This window comes from Homo sapiens, chromosome 13 (assembly GCF_000001405.40).
Source record: "Homo sapiens chromosome 13, GRCh38.p14 Primary Assembly".
Classification (NCBI taxonomy): domain Eukaryota; kingdom Metazoa; phylum Chordata; class Mammalia; order Primates; family Hominidae; genus Homo; species Homo sapiens.
The window spans coordinates 33,842,386-33,865,621 of NC_000013.11; the positions used below are offsets into that span (position 1 = coordinate 33,842,386).

The 23,236-nt window shown below is 38.3% G+C and overlaps 1 protein-coding gene across 12 annotated transcripts in view; it reads left to right on the forward strand.

The window, feature by feature from the left end:
- The window catches only part of RFC3 (replication factor C subunit 3), a 159,229-nt gene that overhangs the window by 24,237 nt on the left and 111,756 nt on the right, over nucleotides 1-23,236 (forward strand). Inside the window, exon 9 of one of the 12 annotated variants that reach the window (XM_011535172.4) lies at nucleotides 1,307-8,442. The exons of the other annotated variants lie outside the window; for them this stretch is intronic. Within the exon in view, the coding sequence (XP_011533474.1) occupies nucleotides 1,307-1,459 (153 nt within the window). The 3' untranslated portion in view covers nucleotides 1,460-8,442. Of the gene's footprint in view, nucleotides 1-1,306; nucleotides 8,443-23,236 lie in introns of those variants that run through there. 12 annotated transcript variants of the gene reach the window in all.

Sequence of the window (23,236 nt, forward strand, 5' to 3'; positions counted from 1 at the left end):
CTCCATCCCACCTAAGATGTGAACCCTCTTTGTCCAGTGGATCCAGACTGTATCTGCTACTTGCGTGTTAGTAATCAACCAAAGATAACAAGGCAACTCTTAACGTAGGAGTGCTTTTCTGTGTAACTCCCTTCTTTCCAGATCTCTGCCCAACATAGGCAGCCACCTCAGCCTCTCTGAATTCTGCTCCTTTTCCTCAACTCACTGTTATCACAGTTCTCTACCTGGGTTTTTCCTTCCTACCCTGCAGCCAAATGTAGGGTGGGAAGGAAGGTTTTTCTTTCCCACCCCGCAGCCACTTTCTTCCAGGCAGAAAGCCAGAATGATGGTATAGAGTTGACCTTACTGGTTGCTTTATATATTTTGTCCAGTTTTTTAGTTGTACAGTGGGAGGGCAAGCCCATTAACAGTTAGTGGCAGTATAAGTCTTGAAGCTAGGATTCTAACCTAAGGCCCTGGTTTCCATGTGTGAATCAGTGTTTTATGCCATTCTTTAAAAATCTATGATTTTATGTTTCATATAAATTAAAAATTTGTTCATGGGATTTGTAGTTGTGCAGTATACATCACAACAGAAACTTGTAGTTTTAAGTGCTGTTTTACACTCTGAGATTTATCAGAATTGAGTAATAGTACATTAAATATTATTTCCAAATTATAGCACTTAATCACAAAACACATTCCTTAAAAAGTAAAACAAAAAAACAAAAAAAACCTCAACTCTTGGCAGCAATTTTCTTTGTACCTTGTTCCCAAGTAAAACATAGTCATCTCATATTTTTCAAATTGATGAACAGATTTCTCTAGCTATTTGCTCCTGTTTTTTTTTTTCCTGTTTACAATTTCTATGGAAATTTGGAGCATTATCACAAGATGTTCTCTATCAGTTTGATTATAGTGTACAAGATTTACAATAAATTACTTTCCTCTCTGCAGCTTTGCAAAAATAGTGGTCTCCACAAACCTCAGCTCCTATCTAAATTGCAGCCTAATGCCAATTTACAAACACTATATGGTACCTTTGTGGCTTAGTAGCTTATGCTCCTTTTGCAGTTGTTTAATTAGCTGATGGCCCACTGAAGTTACCTTCTCTTTAATATAGCAGCACCAGAAACTTAAGCAACTTCCTGAAGAGCAGCTGTGCAAAATAATTACTAGCTGTAGGCATGGAAAGAGCTTGACACAGTTTCTCTAGAATAACATTAAGTACCTTTATGTGAGGCACTATGCTAGATTCTTCACAGGCATTCTCTCATTTAATTCTCCTAACACTCTTTGAACTAGACATTATGATCTTGTTTTGCAGATGAGAAACTGGATCCAGCTGATCATGGGTGCCACTCTAATAAATTCACAGCTACCAACCAAGAAATGGGCTGTCAACACTGCCCAACGGACATATGTTTCTATGATCAAGTCTCCACAATGCCTTTTTCAAAACTTAATTTGGAGCAAATAATTTTACCTTCTTGTTAGCTACCGAAACCAAATCCATATGCAGCCTATGTTACCATATCCTCATTTGTATGCATCCTGTTGACTATATCTACATTTATATGCAACCTATATTCTCCTAATACGGTAGAGAAGCTGCCCATCTTCCTTGTTAAGCTTCCCATCTTGTTGGGTTTGTTCTATGTTGATTGTCTTTTTCTTTTGATGATTAATCATGTTTTTCTACTTCTTTGTTGAGTAATTGTGAATAGTATCTAGTGGTTATGAATGATCTGGGCTTTAGAGATTACAGAAGAAAGTATTTGCAGAATTAGGGTTCAAGCTCTCTTGTTCTCTCTTTTAAAGGATTGCCTCTATCATTTTGTAGCAGCAGTGGCTGCCCCCTAGTCTTCTGGTTCTTTAATCCAATAAGACAGTAAAGTTTTCATAAGAGTTTTAGCTGCCCATGTTAGTGATGACTGTGGCCTGCCTTCAGGCTAAATGCCTTAAAAATGAAAAACTCTAGTGCTCTGCCCACCTTCCAATTGTTGATTACCTTCCAGTTTCTGCTGTTCTTCTCTCTCCAGCAGTTGTTTTTTCTACTACCGTTTTATCATTTGTTTTCTGGTTGTTTTGTGGCCTTCCTTCCCTCCTTCTTGCTTGCCTGCTTACGTGATTTTCTCAGTGGTGTGTTTCAATATCTTGCTTTTTCTTGTTTGTGTATCTGTTGTAGGATTTTTTATTTGAGGTTGCTATCAGGTTTGCAAATAATATAACTCATTATTTTAAACTGATGACAATTTAACACTAATTTCAAAAACTAACAGAGAAAACTAATAAAAATTCTACAATTTAACTTCATCGCTTCTGCTTTTTAACTTTTGGTTATTTCTGTTTATATCTTATTATACTGTCTATGTTCTGAAAAGTTGTTGTAGTTATTTTTGATAGGTTCATCTTTTAGTCTTTCTATTCAAGATATGGATAGTTTACACACCACAATTACAGTGTTATAATATTCTATGTTTGTCTATGTACTTACTATTGCCAGTGAGTCTTGTACCTTCAGATGATTTCTTGTTTCTCATTAACATTCTTTTCTTTCAGAGCGAAGAAATCCCTTTGGCATTACTTGTATGATAGGCTTAGTGTTGATGAAATTCCTCAGCTTTTGTTTATCTGGGAAAGTCTATATTTCTCCTTAAATGTTTGAAGGATATTTTCACAGGATATAAGTCTAGGATAAAATATATTTTCCTTCAGCACTTTAAATATGCCATGCCACTCTTTCCTGCCTGTAAGATTTCCATAGTGAAATCTGCTGCCAGACATATTGGAGCCCCATTGTATGTTGTTTGTTTCTTTTCTGTTGCTGCTTTTAGGATCCTTTATCCATGACCTTTGGGAGTTTGATTATTAGATGCCTTGAGATAGTCTTATTTGGGTTAAATCTTGGTGTTCTATAATTTTCTTGAACTTGAATGTTGACATCTTTCTCTAGGCTTGGGAAGTTCTCTGTTACTATCCATTTGAATAAACTTTCTACCTCTATATCTCTCTCTACCTTTTCTTTAAGGCCAGTAACTCTTAGATATGCCCTCTTGAAGATATTTTCTAGATCGTGTAGGCATGCTTCATTCTTTTTTATTCTTTTTTCTTTTGTCTCCTCTGTATATTTTCAAATAGCCTGTCTTCAAGCTCATTAATTCTTCTTTTTGATCAATTCCATTATTAAAGGGCTCTGATGCATTTATTAATAGGCCAATTGAATTTTTCAGCTGCAGAATTTCTGTTTGATTTTTAAAAATTTTTCAATGTCTTTGTTACATTTATCTAATAGGACTCTGACTTGCTTCTCTATGTTATCTTGAATTTCATTGCACTTCCTCAAAACAGCTGTTTGGAATTCTCTGTCTGAAAGGTCACATATCTCTTTCACTTCTGGACTGGTCACTGATACCTTATGTAGTTTGTTTGGTGAGGTCATGTTTCCTGGATGACCCTGCTGCTTGTAGATGTTCATAGATGTATGGACATTGAAGAGTTAGGTATTTATTGTAGTATGGGCTTGTTTATACCTGTCCTTCTTGGGAAGGCATTCCAAGTGTTCAGAGAAAATTGAGTGTTGTGATCTAAGTCTGGTTACTGTAGCCATATATGCATTAGGGGGCACCCCAGTAATGCTGTGACTCTTTCAGGCTCATAGAGATATTGCCTTGGTGGTCTTGGGTAAGATACAAGAGAATTCCCTAGATTACTAATCAGAGACTCTTGTTCTCTTCCCTTTTCTCCAGACAAATGGAGTTTCTGTCTCTCCATGCTGAGTTGCCTGGAGCTAGGGGAGAGGTGATACAAGCATGCCTATGACCACTACCACTGGGACTGTGCTATGTCAGGACTGAAGCCAGAACATCTCTGAGTCTCACCCAAGACATACAGCAAATACTGCCTGGGTACAACTGATGTTTTTCAAGGCCCAAGGGCTCTTTAGTCAGCATATTATGAATTCTGCCAGAGCTGGGTTCTTCCCTTCAAGGCAGCGGGTTCCCTTCTGGCCCAGGGTGTGTCTACAAAGGTCATCCGGGAGCTAGGTCCTGGAATGAGGCCCTCAGGACTCTACCAAGTGTGCTGTCCTACTGTGGCTGAGCAGGTCTCCAAGTTGCAAGACAAAGTCCTCTTTACTCTTCCCTCCCCTCTCCTCAAGTGGAGGGAAGGAATCTCTTCTGCAGCTGCAATTTGTACTGCCTGGGATTGGAGGAGGGGTGATGCAGGCACTCCCTTGGCTGCCCTGGCTGGTGTCTCACTGGGTCTTGTGTATCCCAAGTTGGCTGACTCAAGCACGGTACAGCACCAGAGCTTGCCCAGGAATTGCAGTCTTGTGGCGTAGACTGCTATTCAAGTTTATTTAGGACCCCAGAGTGCTTTAGCCCATGATGATGGTGCTAGCTGGAACTCAGTTTCTGCCCACTGGGATAGACAATTCCCCTGTGGTTAGGGCTGGTCTAAATACTCTCTCTGTGGGTTCTGTCATGTGTTGCTCTCCACTGTGACGGGGAAGCACTGTCCAGTGCACACAGATTCTCTCTTTTTCTTTTTTTTTGGTGGAGTCTCACCCTGTTGACCAGGCACTGAAGTGCAGTGGTGCGATCTTCGCTCACTGCAGCCTCCGCCTCCTAGGTTCAAGCGATTCTCCTACCTCCCTCTCCCGAGTAGCTGGGATTACAGACACCTGCCACCACACCCGGCTAATTTTTGTATTTTTAGTAGAGACGGGGTTTCACCATGTTGGCCAGGCTTCTCTTGAACTCCTGACCTCAGGTGATCCACCTGCCTCAGCCTCCCAAAGTGCTGGGATTACAGGCGTGAGCCACCATGCCTGGCCTACACAGATTCTCTCTGCACCATGCTGCAGCTGATGGGGGATGAGAGAGGGGTGTGTAGGCAATTCAATACTGTCTTTCCTACCTTCTACAGTGCCTTTTTCTTTAATACAGTGTTAAAATCAGGTACTGTGATCACTCATCTGATTTCTTGTTCTTACAAAGGTGCTTTCTTGTGTGGGTACTAATTTGGTGTTCCTGCGGTGGGGGAGGGGGATAATCTCTAGGAGGTGCTATCTGGCCATCTTGCTTCACCTCCTCCTCCAGCAGTTGCTTTTTATAAGTTTGTTCAAAGCTTATAGTTGTTATCTACTGTAAGATTGTCAGCCATACCAGAAGCAGAAATTCCATCTCATTGTTTTATAAATATGGTCAAGTATCTCTTAAAAAAAAAAAATCATTCATATACCTCACATCCTCATCTTGCACCCTCTCTTTCTACTCTTTACACATTTTTTAAGTGTTTTCTGTTCATATTGCCTACATTTTCTTAGTTTGCAATCCATTTTAATCTGGTTTTCCTTCTTATAACTTCAAAAATACAGTTTAGTCTAAAAGGGATGTATGTATGTGTGCATCTCCATCCAGTGAATTCTTGCTCTGTATCCAGTGAACTTTTAATTGACCTCAGCAATATGTGTTGCCCTTTCTTGAATCTCCTTTTTCCATGGTTTCCCTGAGACAAATATTCTCTTGTATTTTTTCGCCTACATCTTTGGCTGCTCACTTTACAGGCTTTTTCTTACCAAGCCATCAAATGTGGAATATAGCTTTATTCTCGACTCTCTGCTGCTCATAAGATTCTCTCCCTGGGTGACCTTATACATGCCCAAGGCTTTATATACCATCTATTAGCTGTTAACTCCATTTATATGAGCTCAAACTTTAGCTGAATTTCACACTTATGCATCTAAACACCTATCTGACGTTCGTTCACAGATACTTCAGAGACATCTCAAACTGAACATGTTCCACACTGAGCTTTTGATCTCTTCCAGCCCAAAGTAGACCTTTCCCATTGTTCCTTTCTCGATGTCATCTTTTCTGATTCTTTTCCATGTTCTACAGCAGTGGGGATTATCTGGGGTTCTACCTAATTTTCTTTATTCAATGATCAGCTTAATATCTGTCTTTTCCATGCTCCTTCCCCCTTTCTACTTCTGTTCATGAGACAACTCAGTTTTGAGTTCAAAAAGAGTACATGTGTTGATGATTCCCACATCCAGACATGAGGTGCTTTTCCTAATACAACCATCAGCCATTTCAATTTTGGTTTATCTAAAACAAATTCACCAGCATCTGTTAAACCAGCTACTTCTCTTAGCTTATTGCTTGTGTCAGGGTACTACTTTTCTTCTAGATACCGGGTGTAAACCTTTAGCATGTAAGTTGACCCCTCTCTCCATTTTGACAGTCATTTGTCAAGCTCTGGCCTTTATCCCTTGTAGATGGATGTTGCTTTCATCTCTCCCTGTATTTGTCATCAAATGAACCATAACAGGCAGACTAGATGGACTCATGGCTAGGTATACTCAGATGAGCATAAGAGATTTAAACCAAAAGCATGGGTGTCATTCAAAACAGCTATTTGTGCATTTAAAAATCAATAATTCTTCATACTCAACATGGCAAGTAATTTCTATTAAAAAGAGATAGAAATGTAAATATTTAGATTTAGACCACTAAGGGCAACTTCTATCCATTCATTTGTTCAGAAAAATATTTATTGAGCACCTGCTGTTTGCCATGGCTTTTTTAAGGTACTGGGGATACAGCAGGACAAAATTGACATCAGTTTCCTTTGTGGAGTTTACAGCCTATCACGAAGAGATGAATGCAGGATGATAGATAGATAGATAGACAGGCAGACAGACAGGCAGACAGACAGATAGATAAACTGATAAAATATTCTATGTCATGTGTGCTGTGGAGGTGGAGAATTTTGGTTTGTTGTTTTAGGTAGACTGTGTTACACAGTAATTTACATAGTCCAGGCAAACTAAACAGTATATGCAAGACCTGAAGCAGGAAGGAATATGCCAGTGGAGTAGGTTGGGCAAATGGGAAAGTGGCAAAAGATGAGGTGAGAACATTGAGCTAACATGGAGGTGAGGTGGGATAGATCATATAGGGTACTGGTATTCTGGTAAATGTTTAGCAGCTGGCTCTCTAGGGAAAAAAATCAATAATAAAAGGTCCTGATCTGTAGTGTTTGCAGTTTTTCTGGTGTAAACACTCTCACCATGGCCAATTTCAAGCTAGCAATGGAAAATATAACAGTCAGCTCTTGTGAGCTAGTATAACCCTTCTCCAGGCCATCACTGATATAGAGCCTTGTAGGACAATTGCAGTGATTTTTTTTTTTAAGTGAGAAAGGATGCCACTAAAGAATATTAGAGTAGGCCAGGCTCAGTGGCTCATGCCTGTAATCCCAAAGGAGGCCGAGGCTGGCAGATCAGTTGAGGTAAGGAGTTTGAGACCAGCCTGGCCAACGTGGTGAAGCCCTGTTTCTAATAAAAATACAAAAAATTAGCTGGGAGTAGTGGTGCGTGTCTGTCATCCCAGCTACTCAGGAGGCTGAGGCAAGAGAATCACTTGAACCGAGAGGCAGAGGTTTTAGTGAGCCGAGATTGCACCACCACACTCCAGCCTGGACTACAGAGTAAGACTCTGTCTCAAAAAAAAACAAACCAACAAACAAAAAAGTATTAGAGTTATGATGTGTTCAGGTTTCTGTTTCAACAATCAACTGTCTCCTGGGTTGAGAATATTAATTACATGTTAACATTTGTCTGTTTTCTTTGATTTACATAGTGCTAGCTTACACATTGTTTTCAATTATTAATTGTCAATATTTAAAAATATAGAAATACTTCAAAAACATTAACTTCTTGATTTTCTTAAAAAATCAAATTTGATCTTTATGTTACTAATTTGAATTGTGGAGTGGCTATCTTTTTTACATAGGTATGCATTTTCCATTTCTCACCAGTTTTAGCTATTATTTTACACAGTTTTTTCTTTGTTTTTAAATTGTGGAGATGAGAAAAATAAACTTTCTAATAACCAAACCTTTTATCAAAATTGGTGTAAAATGAGAGGTAAGAGAGGGTTATATGGTTCAAGAAAAATTGAGCATGCGTATTTCTTTATAGATGTAAAGGATATTTTTAATTTATAATAAAATGTATCTATTTTGAAGGAATACAGCTTAATATATCATTATGAAACATCATACAACAGGTTATGATTAGGTATGAAGATGATTTTTAAATTGATACACTGAGAAAACATCAAAATTTAATCAGGCTTTGATTTTAAATTAATTGAAATAAATTATGTTCTTGTAAAATTAATATTTACTGTATGAAAAATTGTCAGAATAGCAAAACAATTTGCAAATGTCAGTTTCATAAATGAGTGAGTACAATATATATTGACTTAGAAAAACAAACATTAGCAAAAGTATATCTAAACATAAGTATTGTTTTGAAAATACAGTTAACTTACAGGACAAACTCATTTTATGCTGTTTTTAATAGTGATCAAAGTGCAGATATTTAAAATACATCACTGAATTAAGTTAGTTTTGTACATGATAATTTTAATAAAGGATTTGAAAACTTGGTGCTCATGAGTCACAACTTTTTTTTAATTTTGAAAGGAAGTCAATAAGCTTAATATACATTGATCAAAATTAGAAAACATAACTAAGACAATTCTTCTGTGGTAGTTGATATTACTTTCGGATTTTTTTCCTCACAAAATAAATTCAGTTGGAAGGGTATAAAACTTAAATTTACTAATTGCCTGATTCAGCATGAATTTCTTTGAAAAGCAAGCCAAAACCCTCCATGGAATGAGAAATTAACATCATGAACTAGATTGATTCTTATGGCTTGAGAGCATAATGCTTTGTTGATAAATTGGGTCCATAATTAAAGCGTCTGCTGTAGTTACACAAGGATATATGCAAATGATTTTTGAATTGTTCATGTCATCCAAGGGAAAATCTACTAATTTTTCTCTACCCCCATTTCCTGCTTTACAAAGATTGGATTCCTTAGTTTATAATATAGTTGACCCTTGAACAATGTCGGGGGTTGGAGCATCAACCCGTCACAGTTGAAAATCAACATAGAACTTTTGACTCCCCCAAACTTAATAGACTAATGTTGACCAGAGCCTTACCAACAACAGAAATACTCAGATAACACGTATTTTGTATGTCGTGTATATTACATTCTTACCATAAAGTCAGATAAGAGGAAAGAAAAGGTTATTAAGAAGGTCCTGAGGAAGAAAAAATATATTTACTATCTAAAAATATATATTTACTAAGTAGAAGTGGATCATTATAAAGGTCTTCATCCTTTCTGTCTTTGTGTTGAGCAGGCTGTTGAGGAGGAGGGGTTGGCTTTGCTGTCTCAGGGGTGGCAGAGGCAAAATAAAACCTACATATAAATGGACCCATGCAGTTCAAACCCATGTTTTTCAGGGGTCAACTGTATAACCCATCTAAACAGTGACTATTTTTTGTGTAAGGTCATTCTTAAAGCATTGCACACACATATGATCCAATTCACACATTCTGCAGTTGGCTCGTTAGGAAACTATTTGTCTGGGAATAATCTGGTCTACAATCTTGTGGGAAAAGAATACCCAGACATTTAAATAACAGACCTAAGTATGAATCCATTCCCCAAACTGTGAAGTTGAAGACTGAATTTTAAAATTGGCTTTCAGATATCAAATTTTATAAAAAATGAATTGACATTGATATTGTGAAACATTGATATTCCACAAATGAGATATATTAAATTGAGGTGCAACATGGTATTGAAAACTAACTATGAGAGTATTGCACTATCTGAATTGCACAAATATCTTGAGAAAAGTTACTTTCAATATAAAAAGCAGTAAGCAAAGATTTTAACTGTAAGTTATTGTCATCCAGGAATAATTGTTTCCTGTTTCTAATCTTTCTTTCCTGGAAGTAAGCTTCAGTAGTGTTACTGCAGGCCTGTCTTTATTCATCCAGCTCTTAGAGAGATGGAGTATTTTATTTAATTCTCATCTTTGAGAAGAATCAGTGAACCTACTTGACGTGGCTCCAACTGTTTTTCTGTTGAGAATGAGCCTATGTGTAAGTAGTCAGGCTTCTTGCCTGTAAGGAGGCCTAAAGTCTAGCACTGCCCCCACCTAAAACCGTGTCTTCTGGCCTAATTTCTATCAGTAACAGGTTATATTTTGGCTTCCCACTGAATCTGTTTTGTTGATCTCAACTTGTTCTAAGCAGAGCATAGAATAATGGTGCCATTTATTGGGGAGTAACCCTCAGAAACCTCAAAATTTGGTATATTCACCAGGAACATTGAGAAATAATAATAAAAGAGAAAGTTTGGAAGGAGAAAGTTTTTGTGCATCCAAGGCCTACAAATGTGGGTCTTGGACTTTAGGGATTAAATGTATTGAGTATAATAGTTTATAAAGACTTATAATAGTTTATAGAGACTTATTTTAGGTCAAACTGATTTTTACTTGTTTGCATTTGGCTTTGAACTTCTGTAGCCTGGGAAGAAAGCTCTGGCTGTCATGAGGAATTTTAAGCTTGGCAGGTGACTGCAACCTATGACTTATGCAACTCGTGAGAAAATAAGACACAGTCCTTTAGCTGTGTTGGGTGCTTCAGGTAGAGACTGCTTTGGCTTAATGCACAGACCAACCTTGTCCTAAATTGAGACAAGATTCCATTGTAGAGAAGAGTTTTACAGGCATTTTAAACATTGGTGGTCAGAAGAATATTTGCCACTTTTAAACTGCAAGGCAACTAGCTCTGCATGTATAACAGAGCACTAGAGGGGCTCTAGGTCTACATGGTTAGTACCAAGACCAGCTAGATAATCTAGATTGGGTATTCCAGATTCAAGAGAAGACCTCTTTCAGGATCAAGGAGGGCTGTGAAGGCACCTGCTAACCTTTCATGTGGCATTTCCACAGACTTTTAAGACTCCCTCTCCCATTATAGAATCCCAAATTGGCTCTGAATACATTAATATCTTAAGTTCTAACCCTGACTTGCTATCTGAGACCCAAATTGTGATTTCACCATAGATGTGCATTAGACTTTATTAATTAGGAAATAAGAGATATGAACTCTTATTAGAAAGAAATTGCTATCCCCTTGAGACAGAAAATCAACTAAATGACATTATTAGAAACCCAAACACAAGGATATCAAAGTGTTCTGTGCCTGCAACTGGTTGCCTCCAATTATCCCATTTGCTCAAGAAAAGAAAAAACTAGAGTGGTTAAAAGATGGTACTTCAGTTCCATTAAATCCAGAAACAGAGGAAGATTAATAAAGGAAAGTAGGCAGGATACGCTGGAGGAAGAGATTATTTATTCACTAAGAAAGAATACAGGGAGAAAGGTACGTTGAAGATGGAGTTAGACCAACATACAAGGGGCAGAAAAAGGTACCTAAATTCTAACTGCTTTTAAAGAGGGAAATACATGTTTGTTGTTACTAAATCATAAATGGTGTATGGAACCCAAGAGAGAGAAGTCCAGGATGATAACCCTAAGAAAACCCAAGTCACTGAGAGGTGACTTTCTAAACCCACAGGACCTCACTTGGAGCAACTGGGGAACTACTACTTAAAGACTGGAACAGCTGTACCAAGGAGTTGTAGAAATCTGGACAGACTTAGAAAATGCATAAGAGATATTCAAAGCATTTCTTACGTGAGTTTCCATGTGACACAGTCATCACGGGGAGATACAAGCATTGCATTTACTCTGAGAGAACTTATTGACCTTAGTTGATGAATTTATGAAATTAGGATCTTAATGGAAGGTAGTAGAAAGATACGAAGAAATGTAGATGTGACAATCAGAGACCAAGTTCAGGTTTTTGTTAACTGTCTGATGGAAGAATCTCTCTTGGGGAGATTATCCATGTCATTGAGAGTATGGTAAACAAAATCTGAACGGTGAACAGAGAGCTTGTTGATTTCTTCTCTCTTACTATGGTAGACCTCACAGATGAATCCAGAGTAGTTATAAAAATAATTGCCTGAGACGGAAAGCAAAGACAAAGTAAATGGAAGGGAGCCACTCAGTTCCTGCAGGCAGCATTAGCTCTTACATAGACTAGAGAAGAAAAAGGACTGGTTTAAGAAGTAGACTAAATTGTTAAGAAACTCAAGTAGCCTTGAAAGGGGTTGGGGACTAGCACAGGGAAATTAAATACCAATGCATCAAAAATTTAATTTCAGAAGCAACAAAACTGCTTTAGTGCAGGAATCTATTAGTGGTGATTCTTCAGCTAAGATGAATTATGAATGAAGAAGTCTTTCCTAGCAGATGGGTTTCATGTCCCAAGTAGTTCCATAGCTACAGATGGTGGAAATAGCCCCTGTGGCACAGGACTAAGAATGGCTGCCCCTGAGAGATGGTGCAGGTGTGGCATGGATTAGAGACTGAATCTAGGGCACCATCAAGGGCTTAAAAACCTAAGATTCTATGGGAAAATGGAAATAGAGGTTCTGGGTATGCTTGATGGGAAGAAAGAACCCACAGTGATTTTGGGGACTGGCTGCTGCTATTTCAGGTGTCTATTTCAAGTTTGCAAGGAGACAGAAATGCCTGAAATGATACTATTAAAAAAGAAGGAAGAACCAAGGCCATAGTTTAGATATACCCCAGGGCCAACTGCCCATAACCATGTAGTCAAAACTTAAGTCATCCTGATTTCCCCATAATGCTCTAATCATGACGGAAACAAAACATAAGCTCTATGAACATGGTTCAGTTGAAATCAAAACAATCGACTAGCGACAAATGAGCTTAAACAACTCTACTTCCCTAAAAGGGATGGTAATATACAACAGGCAAGAAAAAAAAGGTTAAAATACTCCTCCTTTGTGCTTTATAATCTGCGCTGTGGCTGCTTTTCTTGAGGCTTCTTACTACTTTCAGTTTGAAGTCTCCCAGTTTGAGAACTGTTCTTAGTGTGCACAATAAACTTTTAACATTTTTTCTAAGTTGATCTGATTTTATATTTCTTAATGCTCCGAGCAAGCACACAGGAAACATAGATGGATTTTTTTTCCCACAAAAATGGAAATGTAAAGAAATGGTGTCTATGTGCCTTATTTTCTTTACCCAGTCTACCATTGACGGGCATTTAGGTTGATTCCATGTCTTTGCTATTGTGAATAGTGCTGCAGTGAACGTATGTGTGTGTGTCTTTATGATAGAAGGATTTATAATCCTTTGGTATATACCAGTAATGGGATTGCTTGGTGGAATAATAGTTCTATTTTTAGGTCTTTGAGGAAGTGCCACACTGCATTCCACAATGGTTGAACTAATTTACCCTCCCACCAGCAGTGTATAAGCATTCCCTTTTCTCTGCAACCTTGCCAGCACTGGTTATTTTTTGATTTTTTAACAATAGCCATTTTGAGTGATGTGAGATGGTATCTCGTTGTGGCTTTGATTTACATTTCTTTCATGATCAGTGATGCTGAACTTTTTTTCATATGCTTGTTGGCTGTATGTGTGTCTTCTTTTGAAAAGTGTCTGTTCATGTCCTTTGCCCATATTTAATGAGCTTGTTTTTGTCTTGTAAATTTAAGTTTTTTATAGGTGCTGGATATTAGACCTCTGTCTGATGCATAGTTTGCAAAAACGTTCTACCATTCTCTAGGTTATCTGTTTAGTTTGCTGATAGTTTCTTTTGCTGTGCAGAAGCTCTTTAGTTTAATTAGATCTCATTTGTCAGTTTTTGCCTTTGTTGCAATTGCTTTTAGCATCTTTGCCATTAGATCTTTGCCCATTCCTATGTCCAGAATGACATTTCGTAGGTTGTCTTCCAGGGTTTTTATAGCTTTGGGTTTTACATTTAAGTCTTAATCCATCTTGAGTTGGTTTTCATATATGGTATAAGGAAGTAAAACAGTCTCAATGTCCTTTGCAGCAACACAGATGGAGCAGGAGGCCATTTTCTTTAGCAAACTAATTCAGGAACAGAAAACCAAATACCACAAGTTTTTATTTATAAGTGGGAGTTAAATGAAGAGAAGAGATGGACACAGACAGGTAAACAGCAGACACTGGAGCCCACCAGAAGGTGGAGGGTGGGAGGAGAAGAGGATCAGGAAAAATAACGAATGGGTATTAGGCTTAATACCTGGATGATGAGATAATCTGTACAACAAACACCCATGACACAAATTTACCTATGTAACAAACCTGCACATGTATACCTGAACTTAAAATAAAAGTTAAAAAACTGATATGGAAATGTAATTGTAAATGGTAAATGCAAAATAAACGTATTCCTGGGAGAATATTTTTCCACTGGGCTTAAGTAAGCAAGTCATGGAATACAGACAATTGGTCTTGAATGAGAGACGTCTGTTGAGATTGACTCCAGAAAGATTTTCCTTTTCTCTCAGATACCAGGATTACTGGGGTCCTGGTAGCTCTGGTTCTGGAAATGCAATTTTGCCTGGAATAATTGACCTATGCACAGGAGATTGGCTTTCTAAATTGGGTGCGTGTGACAAAGAGGTGTGGTAATTTTGTGAGTCCTGTTAGCTGTTTTGATTCTTTAAAAGTAAGGCCCCTGAGAGACTGGGCATTGAATTACTATGACTTGAAAGGCTTTGGAAGCTCCAGACCCATTCCAGAGAGAGACAGGTGGTTACTGGAGGAACCTCAACTCTACCCAGACAGCAAATCCTGCCAACTAAGCCTGCAGAAAAGATGATATGAAGGGGAAGGGTATTTGTTTTGTAAGTGGACTTTGTACTTTGAATTTTAATACATGGGGCAAGAGAATTTTATTTCAAACTTTAGTACTTTTAGATTTTCATGTCTTTGAACTTAAACTTGTAAAGCAATCTAATCTTTAGACATAAATTTATTCCTTGGAATTTAATAATAGCAAGGAAATTGTCTTCAAATAAGAGGCATCTCTTTATAGATGTTTGGTTATTGGAATATCTTCAAGATAGCGTCCAATCTCATTGCGGAATCTCTGACATGCTACATTAGACAGTATGCCTGGACATAATTTTGGACAGAAAATAGAATAGGGGATACATTTTCAGCTCTTCCTACAGAATGGACTCAAAGCTGACATATGGAATGTATGGTTCTGACTCACTGCAGATTCTTCTGGGGATGACATTTAAGCCGCCTGCCCTTGGAACCTCAAGGAAACACAAGTCAGCAGAGCTCAGTGCAGGGTGTGGGCTCATGGAGATGGGAGCAATGCTCTCCCAAGGCAATCAGCATCTCTGGCTGACCATAGGCTTCATGTTTAAGCCCAATGAATTAAGAAGATGAAAAACTGGGGAGTGTTAGTGGGGCTAACATTAAAATTAATATTTTTGCTTCATTTTCTCCTCTTTTGTTTGAACGTTTGATATAAATCTTGGCTCTCTTTGCTCATTAAAACCCAGTGTGGTAACCTTTTCAGAGTCCTTAATTTCCTAATATGAAATGTGATTCAATTCAACAAACAGTTGTTCAGCACTTATTGTATATTTCTGTTCTGGGTACTAGGAATATAGAAATAAATAATATTGCATTAGATGCTGACTTTATTTACATGTTTGAGTCCAATAATATAAAAGTACATAAATCTTAAGGACAGCATGAAGAGAAAGTGATCATCCTGTCTGGGAGTTTGGAGGTAGACAGCTTTCATCAAAAAGGGAATTTTTGAGCAAAATGGTTAAGCAGAGAAAGCGTATTTTTAACAGAGGGACTGGCACATAATTAACACATGGGGAAATGATGTGCATGTTTTATCAAGATACTAACATGAGTTGACAGTTCCTGAGGATAATTTCTATATTGTGAAATAAGGATGGAGCGGAAGGGACCAGATCATAACCATCTCGGAAGCTGAGATGTGGACATTATTTTATGGATGACCAGCCTTAATCCAGAGAGATTTGATGAAGTTTACAAAATAGAGCAGCTTGGCCAAATGACTTCTCCATTTCTTTTTAGCTTCACAGTCTTCTGTTTTGTGTCTTGGTCTCCTACTGTAGCTTGAGAATACTTAATTCTCAGCTATTCCAAATCAGCAGGTACCACACCGCATTTGGTAGGGTTAGGTTTGGCTGCATATAACAGAAAAACCCATAATAAAGAATAACGGTAGATTAAACATGACAGAATTGTGTTTTCCTCAGGTAAAAGCAATTCTGCGGCTAGTCTGGCAACTTGGCAAAATTGTTGGTAACCAGGTCCCTTCCCACTCTTCACTTCACAAGCCCAGGAGCATGAACTTGTCCTCATGTTCTGAGATGGCAGCTGAAACCCCAAATAATCACGTTCATGTTCCAGGATGGAAACTTTTGAGAAGATTTCCTAGAGGCACCTGATACACTTTTACTTATTTCTCAATGGCAAGAATTTGGACCCACGGTCATACCTACGGTTGGAGAACAGTGGGGCATATGATTGCACTGATTAATTTTTTTTATCGAGAAAAAGTGGAAAATAAATATTGAGATAGACAATTAGCTATCTCTGTTCTATCCATGGAAAAATGAGATATTTATCTATCTATTTAAGTGGAAATGAACATGGTAGGCTTTCAAAGATTAGAGAAAGAATTTATCCCCAAAATTGTTTTTCTAATTCTGTTTCTTGGACATCTCTTTTTCTTTCAACTGTAGCATCGCAGTCCCTGAATTTGAAACTCCATTCACAACATACAGTATACACATCCTCAAATGCTGAATGCACACTCAGTCGTATGTGTCCACAGCATCCTTCTCTCCCTGACTTCTGGGACTTTGGATGAACTGTGTTGACTGTTTTCACATCCTTTCACATTTATTGTTCCTGGTATAAACGAAATGCCACAAATACACCATGATTTTATTTGACACTCAAAAGTCAGGCTTTTGAGACTCAAAAATAACCTTTTGCTTCATGTTTGCTGTGAGAGTCAAAACTCCATTATAAAACTCGGAAGCTGAGCATGAACTCTAAATCTGTGTATCGTCTTTTCCCCAAGGCAACATCTAAAGGCCTAAAAGAGAATTGCGATGCAAAACAAGAATTTTGAGGGATAATAAATGCATTGGTTAATAACAAACCAACCCAACATACTTATAATAGAGACGATAATCAATCTAAATGCCCAATAATGAAAACTAGACATAACATTATGATAAAAAGTATAAAGTCATTAAATATTTTGAAGGATTGTAAATAATATCAAAACATTTATATTTTAATGAGTGAAGAGAACAGTATATAAAAGTGACTATGTATAGAGATGACAAGTTTAGAAGTATACTCAGAAAAGTCATGAGGAAAAGGAGCATAATTTTAGCAGTGATTGGGTGGCAGACTATGGATAATTCCTATTTTTTGTTTTCTAAATTTTCCCTCTGAGGAACATGAATTATTTTTATAATAAAGCATTATTAGGATGCACATATATATGTGTGTGCATATATTTACAGTTTGAAATAAAAAATAAAGTTGCCATCCCATACGTAATGGTGGATAAATGACTCACTTCTGTCTGGGCATGCCATGGACTGAATTTTGTCCTCAATGGTGGATAAATGACTCACTTCTGTCTGGGCATGTTATGGACTGAATTTTGTCCCCATCACCCCCAAATTCATATGTTGAAGCCCTAACCACCAATATGAATATGACTATACATGGAGATAGGGCCTTTCAGGAGGTAATTAAGGTTGAATGATGTCATAAGGGTGTGGCCCTAATCTAATAGGACTGGTGACCTCATAAGATGAGGAAGAGACACCAGGGGCATGCATAGATGAAAGACCATGTGAGGACACAGCTTGAAGGTGGTCATCTGCAAGCCAAGGGGACAGTCCTCAGGAGAAGCCAACCCTGCAGTCACTTGGATCTTGGACTTGCAGCCTCCAGAACCATGAGAAAAATATGTTTCTGTTGTTTAAGCCACTCCACCTGTGGCATTTTGTTTTGGCAGCTGGAGAAGACTAAGTGTGTTGCACTTTTTTTTTTTTCTTTTGAGAAGGAAAAAAGCCAGGAGAGAAACTTGAAGTAGCAAAATGGGGACTCAGGAAAACCAAGGGAAGGAGGAGGATGGAGGCTTTTGGCCACCACACACTCACTTGCTTGGAGGGCTAGAATTTGCCCTCCATGACTGCACAAACACATTTAAAGACATCTACCTTTGAGTGCTCCAGATGTTTGAATCAGTGACTGTATTGCTCCTTACTTGTCCCCTCTGCAGAGGAGGCATTCCCAGTTGCCTCCAATGTGCATCCTGTGACTTGGACCCCAGACTTCTCTTCCTTCTGGCTGCCTGCTTTGGATGTGTTTTTGCTTATCCCTCGGCTTTTTAATGTGACAATCGACTCCGCATGTGTCCCAGGCAGCCGTGAGGAGAGAGAAACTCGTTCTTTCCCTGCAGGCCAAGGCAAGGAGAGAAGAAAGGGAAATGAACCGTGTTATATTTCTGTCTGCAGCATGAGTCCCTGTCATGATTTTCCTCCAATCAGGGAAGGTTACTTTGGCAACCGCCAATTAACGTCCCTTTAAATAACTTCCTCCTGGTTAGTGATACTTCATTTTCATAAAACCAGCAAGTCCCGCAGAGATGTCTTAAAGTAGCCAAATCCCTTTTTTTCCCCTTTCTCATTACTTAAGAAACATATTAAATATATATATATATTTTTTTACCAGGTCTTGCTCTGTTACCCAGGCTGGAGTGCAGTGGTATGATCCTAGCTCATTGTAGGCTACTGCTGGGCTCAAGTGATCCTCCCGCCTCAGCCTCCTGAGTAGCTGAGACCACAGGCCAGAGCCACCATACCCAGCTGAGAAACATATTTGAACAGATTACATAACATTTTAAAATATATTGGCATAAAAGTGAAATATACTAGTTAAAGCTTCATGTCATTGTCCTTAAAAAATACTAAGGGGAAAAAGATTTGTAAAATATAAAAATAGAGGTTGCATGTCAATTTCAAGATTTCTTAGAGCATTGATGATAAACTTTATTTTAATGCGGTGTTGATTTAATAATATCGGTAAAGTGATCTCTCTATTTTACAAGCATATTAATTGTTGCTGATTGCAGGATGACTTTGAAAAGGGAGGCTGGGTGTGGTGGCTCATGCCTGTAATCCCAGCACTTTGGGAGGCCGAGGCGGGCAGATCGCCTGAGGTCAGGAGTTTGAGACCAGCCTGGCCAACATGCCGAAACTCTGTCTCTACTAAAAATACAAAAATTAGCCAGGCATGGTGAATTAGCCGGGTGTGGTGGTGGCACCTGTAATTCCAGCTATTCAGGAGGCTGAGGCAGGAGAATCTCTTGAACCCAGGAGGTGGAGTTTGCAGGGAGCCGAGATCATGCCACTTCGTTCCAGCCTAGGCAACAAGAGCAAAACTCCATCTCAAAAAAAAAAAAAAACGGAAAAATGATCACATTTTTGTGTTTGAAATAGCATGTACAATCACTGCACTTCAATGGCAAGGAGGTAGTTCAACCTGTGAGAACACGCACACCTCTACTTAGAGGCTCCCAAAATGATTTTTCACTTAACAATTTTGTACCGACACTGTGCCATACCAAAGTACTGCAACCAATTACAGGTATTTACTGCAGAATACCCTTTGCAGTAAAACTAACCCTGAAAATGTAAGAAATTGTTTTTATGAGCAATAGAAATGCCTATTCTGGAAGCTCTAAGAAACATTAAATTTTACTTCAGGTGTAGAAAGTTGCCTGTGAAAATATGCTTCTTGCAATTTCAGATGATACAGTAATTCACAGGATTATCAAAACAATGCTGTTGAACAGCAGTATAGATTTATTTAGTTCTATACGTCTCACCTTTAGACATTTTAAGATGAAGTGTTTGTCCTTTCAATTAATCAAAAATGTTTTCCCTTCCACTTAGCTAAGTCGCTCAGGTCTCTAGCCCTGTCGGCATTTTCTCCCAGATATTTGGCTGAGTGCCATACTGAAGAATTAGGTCTGGTAATTAAATCCAATCTCAGCAAAGTTTTTTTTTTTTTTTTTGTCTGACACTTTATTTAGGTTTTATGCAAAATGGAATCCCATAGGGACAGAGAATGAACATGTTGTGAAGTATAATTGCAATGAAATATATTTAACAGTTATTTTTGAAGAAAACGCTTAGAGATTTCCCGTGACTTGAATCAGCTTCAATGTCTTTATGCAACTTTTTCCATTAATGCTTCCCATCCTTTATGATTAGACTTATTCATCTATTTTCTGCTGGTTTTCTACATTAATAAGCTGCTTTTGTCAATGATTTTATGTAAATCAGTATGTTTCCCACTGATTCATACACACACATGTCAAAATATTTTAAAAGCGAGACATGTTATAGGTTAAAATATACAGGTAAATATAATATGTATGTATTACATATTCATGTATTTTTGACATTCTATATTTTGATATATTCATATATCTTCATATACATATTGAAAAGCATATCTTCTATAGCTGTGTCTTAAATTTTCAAGTATTTTGATCTGATCACTTTCTGCAATTGACAATTTAAATGTTCCCAAATTATACAAGGAGAAGGAAAATCAGGATCTAAAAATATAATGAGGGTTGCTGTTTTGGAGACACCTCTAAGGCCATCTTACTTAGTCCATTTCCCAAGTTTCCAGCTGCACTGTTTCATCATAGAATGGAATTTACAAATTGCCTCCCAATGCTGTCAGATTCTATTGTTTATAATAAATTAATTCTTACATGCATTTCTAAGAAAAGTTGTGAAAATAATTTTCTGGAGGTCCTTACATATAGTGTTTCCCACAGAGAATGTGTGCGTCTGTTTTGCTGGTTAGTTGGTTAGCATGATTTTGTACCTAGAAGTACAGTCTTTGGAATGATGTTCCTTCCAGTCATAAAGTGCCTTTAACTGATAGACAGTTTTTCATCACAATAGTTATAACTGCATCAGTAATATAATGAATGAAAACAATACATACATATATACACAATGCACATATGCAGATATGAATCTCATGCACAAAATCAGGCAGTTAAGAAAAGACTGTTTTCATTATTTCTGTCTCTGGGTTTAATTTCTGTTTGGGGTCCTCACTCTGCTAGGTAACAGACAGTTCATCTTCATGCACATAGCACTCTTCCCCACCCCGCCTAGGTTGCATTTATGGGAGGAGGAAGGGTGTTTGGGAGAAGGCAACATGGCTTTGCAATATTCAGGTACTGAGTGGAGCCATATGTTCTGTGGGTCTGTGTCATTTAACCACACCTGCATCAGCTGAGCCATTCTCATTCCCATCAGTCTTGAGTCATTTTACCCAGGTAATTGCTGTGTTTTCCTGGTTCCAACCATAAGAATTCTGTCTCTGTACAGAGGTTGTCCATGCTGTCCATGTGGTTGGCTTCTCCCTGGTACAATGACATCATTCTCTTGCTTGATACTGCGTGGATACACAGGCCTTCCATGAAACCGCTAAGTCCTTTGTTCCAGATTTGTTACTGCCCTGCTGTATAAGTACTCTATGCTTTTTGTATGTGAGGTTGAGAACCCTGGGATCTTGCCAATTTTCAGAGTTCTACTGGGCATGGGGCACAGATTTCCTCTACTCTCAGTCTCCCAAACATCTCTCCCGAGGTTTTTGTCATTTCTGCCCCCTCCTCTCTCTGACTTAGCGTATTTAGTCCATTTGCACTGCTATAAAGGAATACCTAAGACTGGATAATTTATAAGGAGAAGAGGTTTATTTTGGCTCATGGTTCTGCAGCCTGTACAAGCATGTCACCAACATCTGCGTGGCTTCTGGTGAGGGTCTCAGGAAGCTTCCACTCATGGTGGAAGGCGATGGGGGACCTGGAGTATCACATTGTGAGAGAGGGAGTGAGAGAACGAGGGAGGAGGTGCCAGGCTCCTTTAAACAAACAGGTCTCCTGTGAACTCGTAGAATGATAAATCATTCATTACCCTGAGGACAGCACCAAGACCTTCCTAAGGGACCTGCCTTCCTAACCCAAACACCCCCTCCCACTAGGCCCACCTCTAACATTGGGGATCACATTTCAAAATGAGATTTGGAGGGGACAATTATCCAACCATATCATTTAGCCAAAGAATGGAAAGGCTAGGCCTACCTAGAATATCCTCTCAAGAACACGACTGGCATCTAATTGTTGTATCCTCTTTCTCTTGTTCTGTCTTCTTTCAGTTCTTGGATTTTTTAGTTAGTTCAGCTGAGAGTAGAGGGTTAGGAATTGGAAGATGGAATAGCATGAACAGTGATGCTGAAGTGAGCTCATGAAGGGTGGATATGAGAGTGAGTGGAAACTTGTGATTATGTTGGGGAGTGTGACTGGAGGTCAGGGGTGACCTGGAGATCTGTTTGGAGAGTTATGGGGCTGGGAGTAAGTTGAAGAGATCACCAGTAGTCTCGAGTTTTCAAACTATAGAATTTTTTTCTTTAGGGTAATGAGAAGCCTTTGGAAATTATTGAGCAGAAAGTGATATAATCCAATAAATGGTATAGATTTTAGATACTTTATGGAGTTATTTGATAGGGGATCACATTTCAACATGAGATTTGGAGGGGACAACTCAAATATGATTCCAAGAACCTAACCTGAGCTATGGTGAGTTATGCAGGAGGAAGGGGAGTTCTGTCTTGGACATATGATGTTGCAGAGGCGATTTTGAGATGTAAAGAGAGGTAAAGCCTAGGGATGTATTGATGAAAATAATCGATTGATTGTAGCTCAAACTGTAGAAATAGAAGAGAGAAGAAGAAAGAGAACAAAATTCATTTTGGAATAGTGAGGAACAGTCAGAAACTGGACAAAGATGCAAAATTAGAAGAATGAAGACATAGAAACATAGAAGGAGGATTTCTAAATAGGAGTGTTATCACCAGCATCAGTTGTTGCTGGAGAGGTTTCCAGGGATATAGTGGTTTCACAGTGCACAGTAATCCTCCCAATTCAAAACACCTGAAAGTTCTATAAAAAATATGAAAAAAAATATTTCTATAATGATTGTGGAAATTGGGAAAGTAAGGGGAATTTGTTGCATGGTGCCTTTGCCTGAGGGAGTTGCCTTGTAAGAAGCTGTTGTTTCCTTTGTGCTCACCCTCTCTAGTGACAGCTCTAGGTCTGGAATGGGAATGCATGGATTGAGTGTGTGTGATGGAGGAGTTGGTGCCTGAGAAATTACAAAGGCAAACCTAGGTGGAGAAAGCTGGCATAAGAAAAGAGTAACAGGACTTTGCTAAATTCTTATGAGCAAAATCTACAGGGAAATGAATTCTGAGGAAGCTCTACCAAGGAGGGAAAAGCATAATTATAGACCAATGTATTTATCAATCAATCAATCAATTATAAATCAACCCATTTA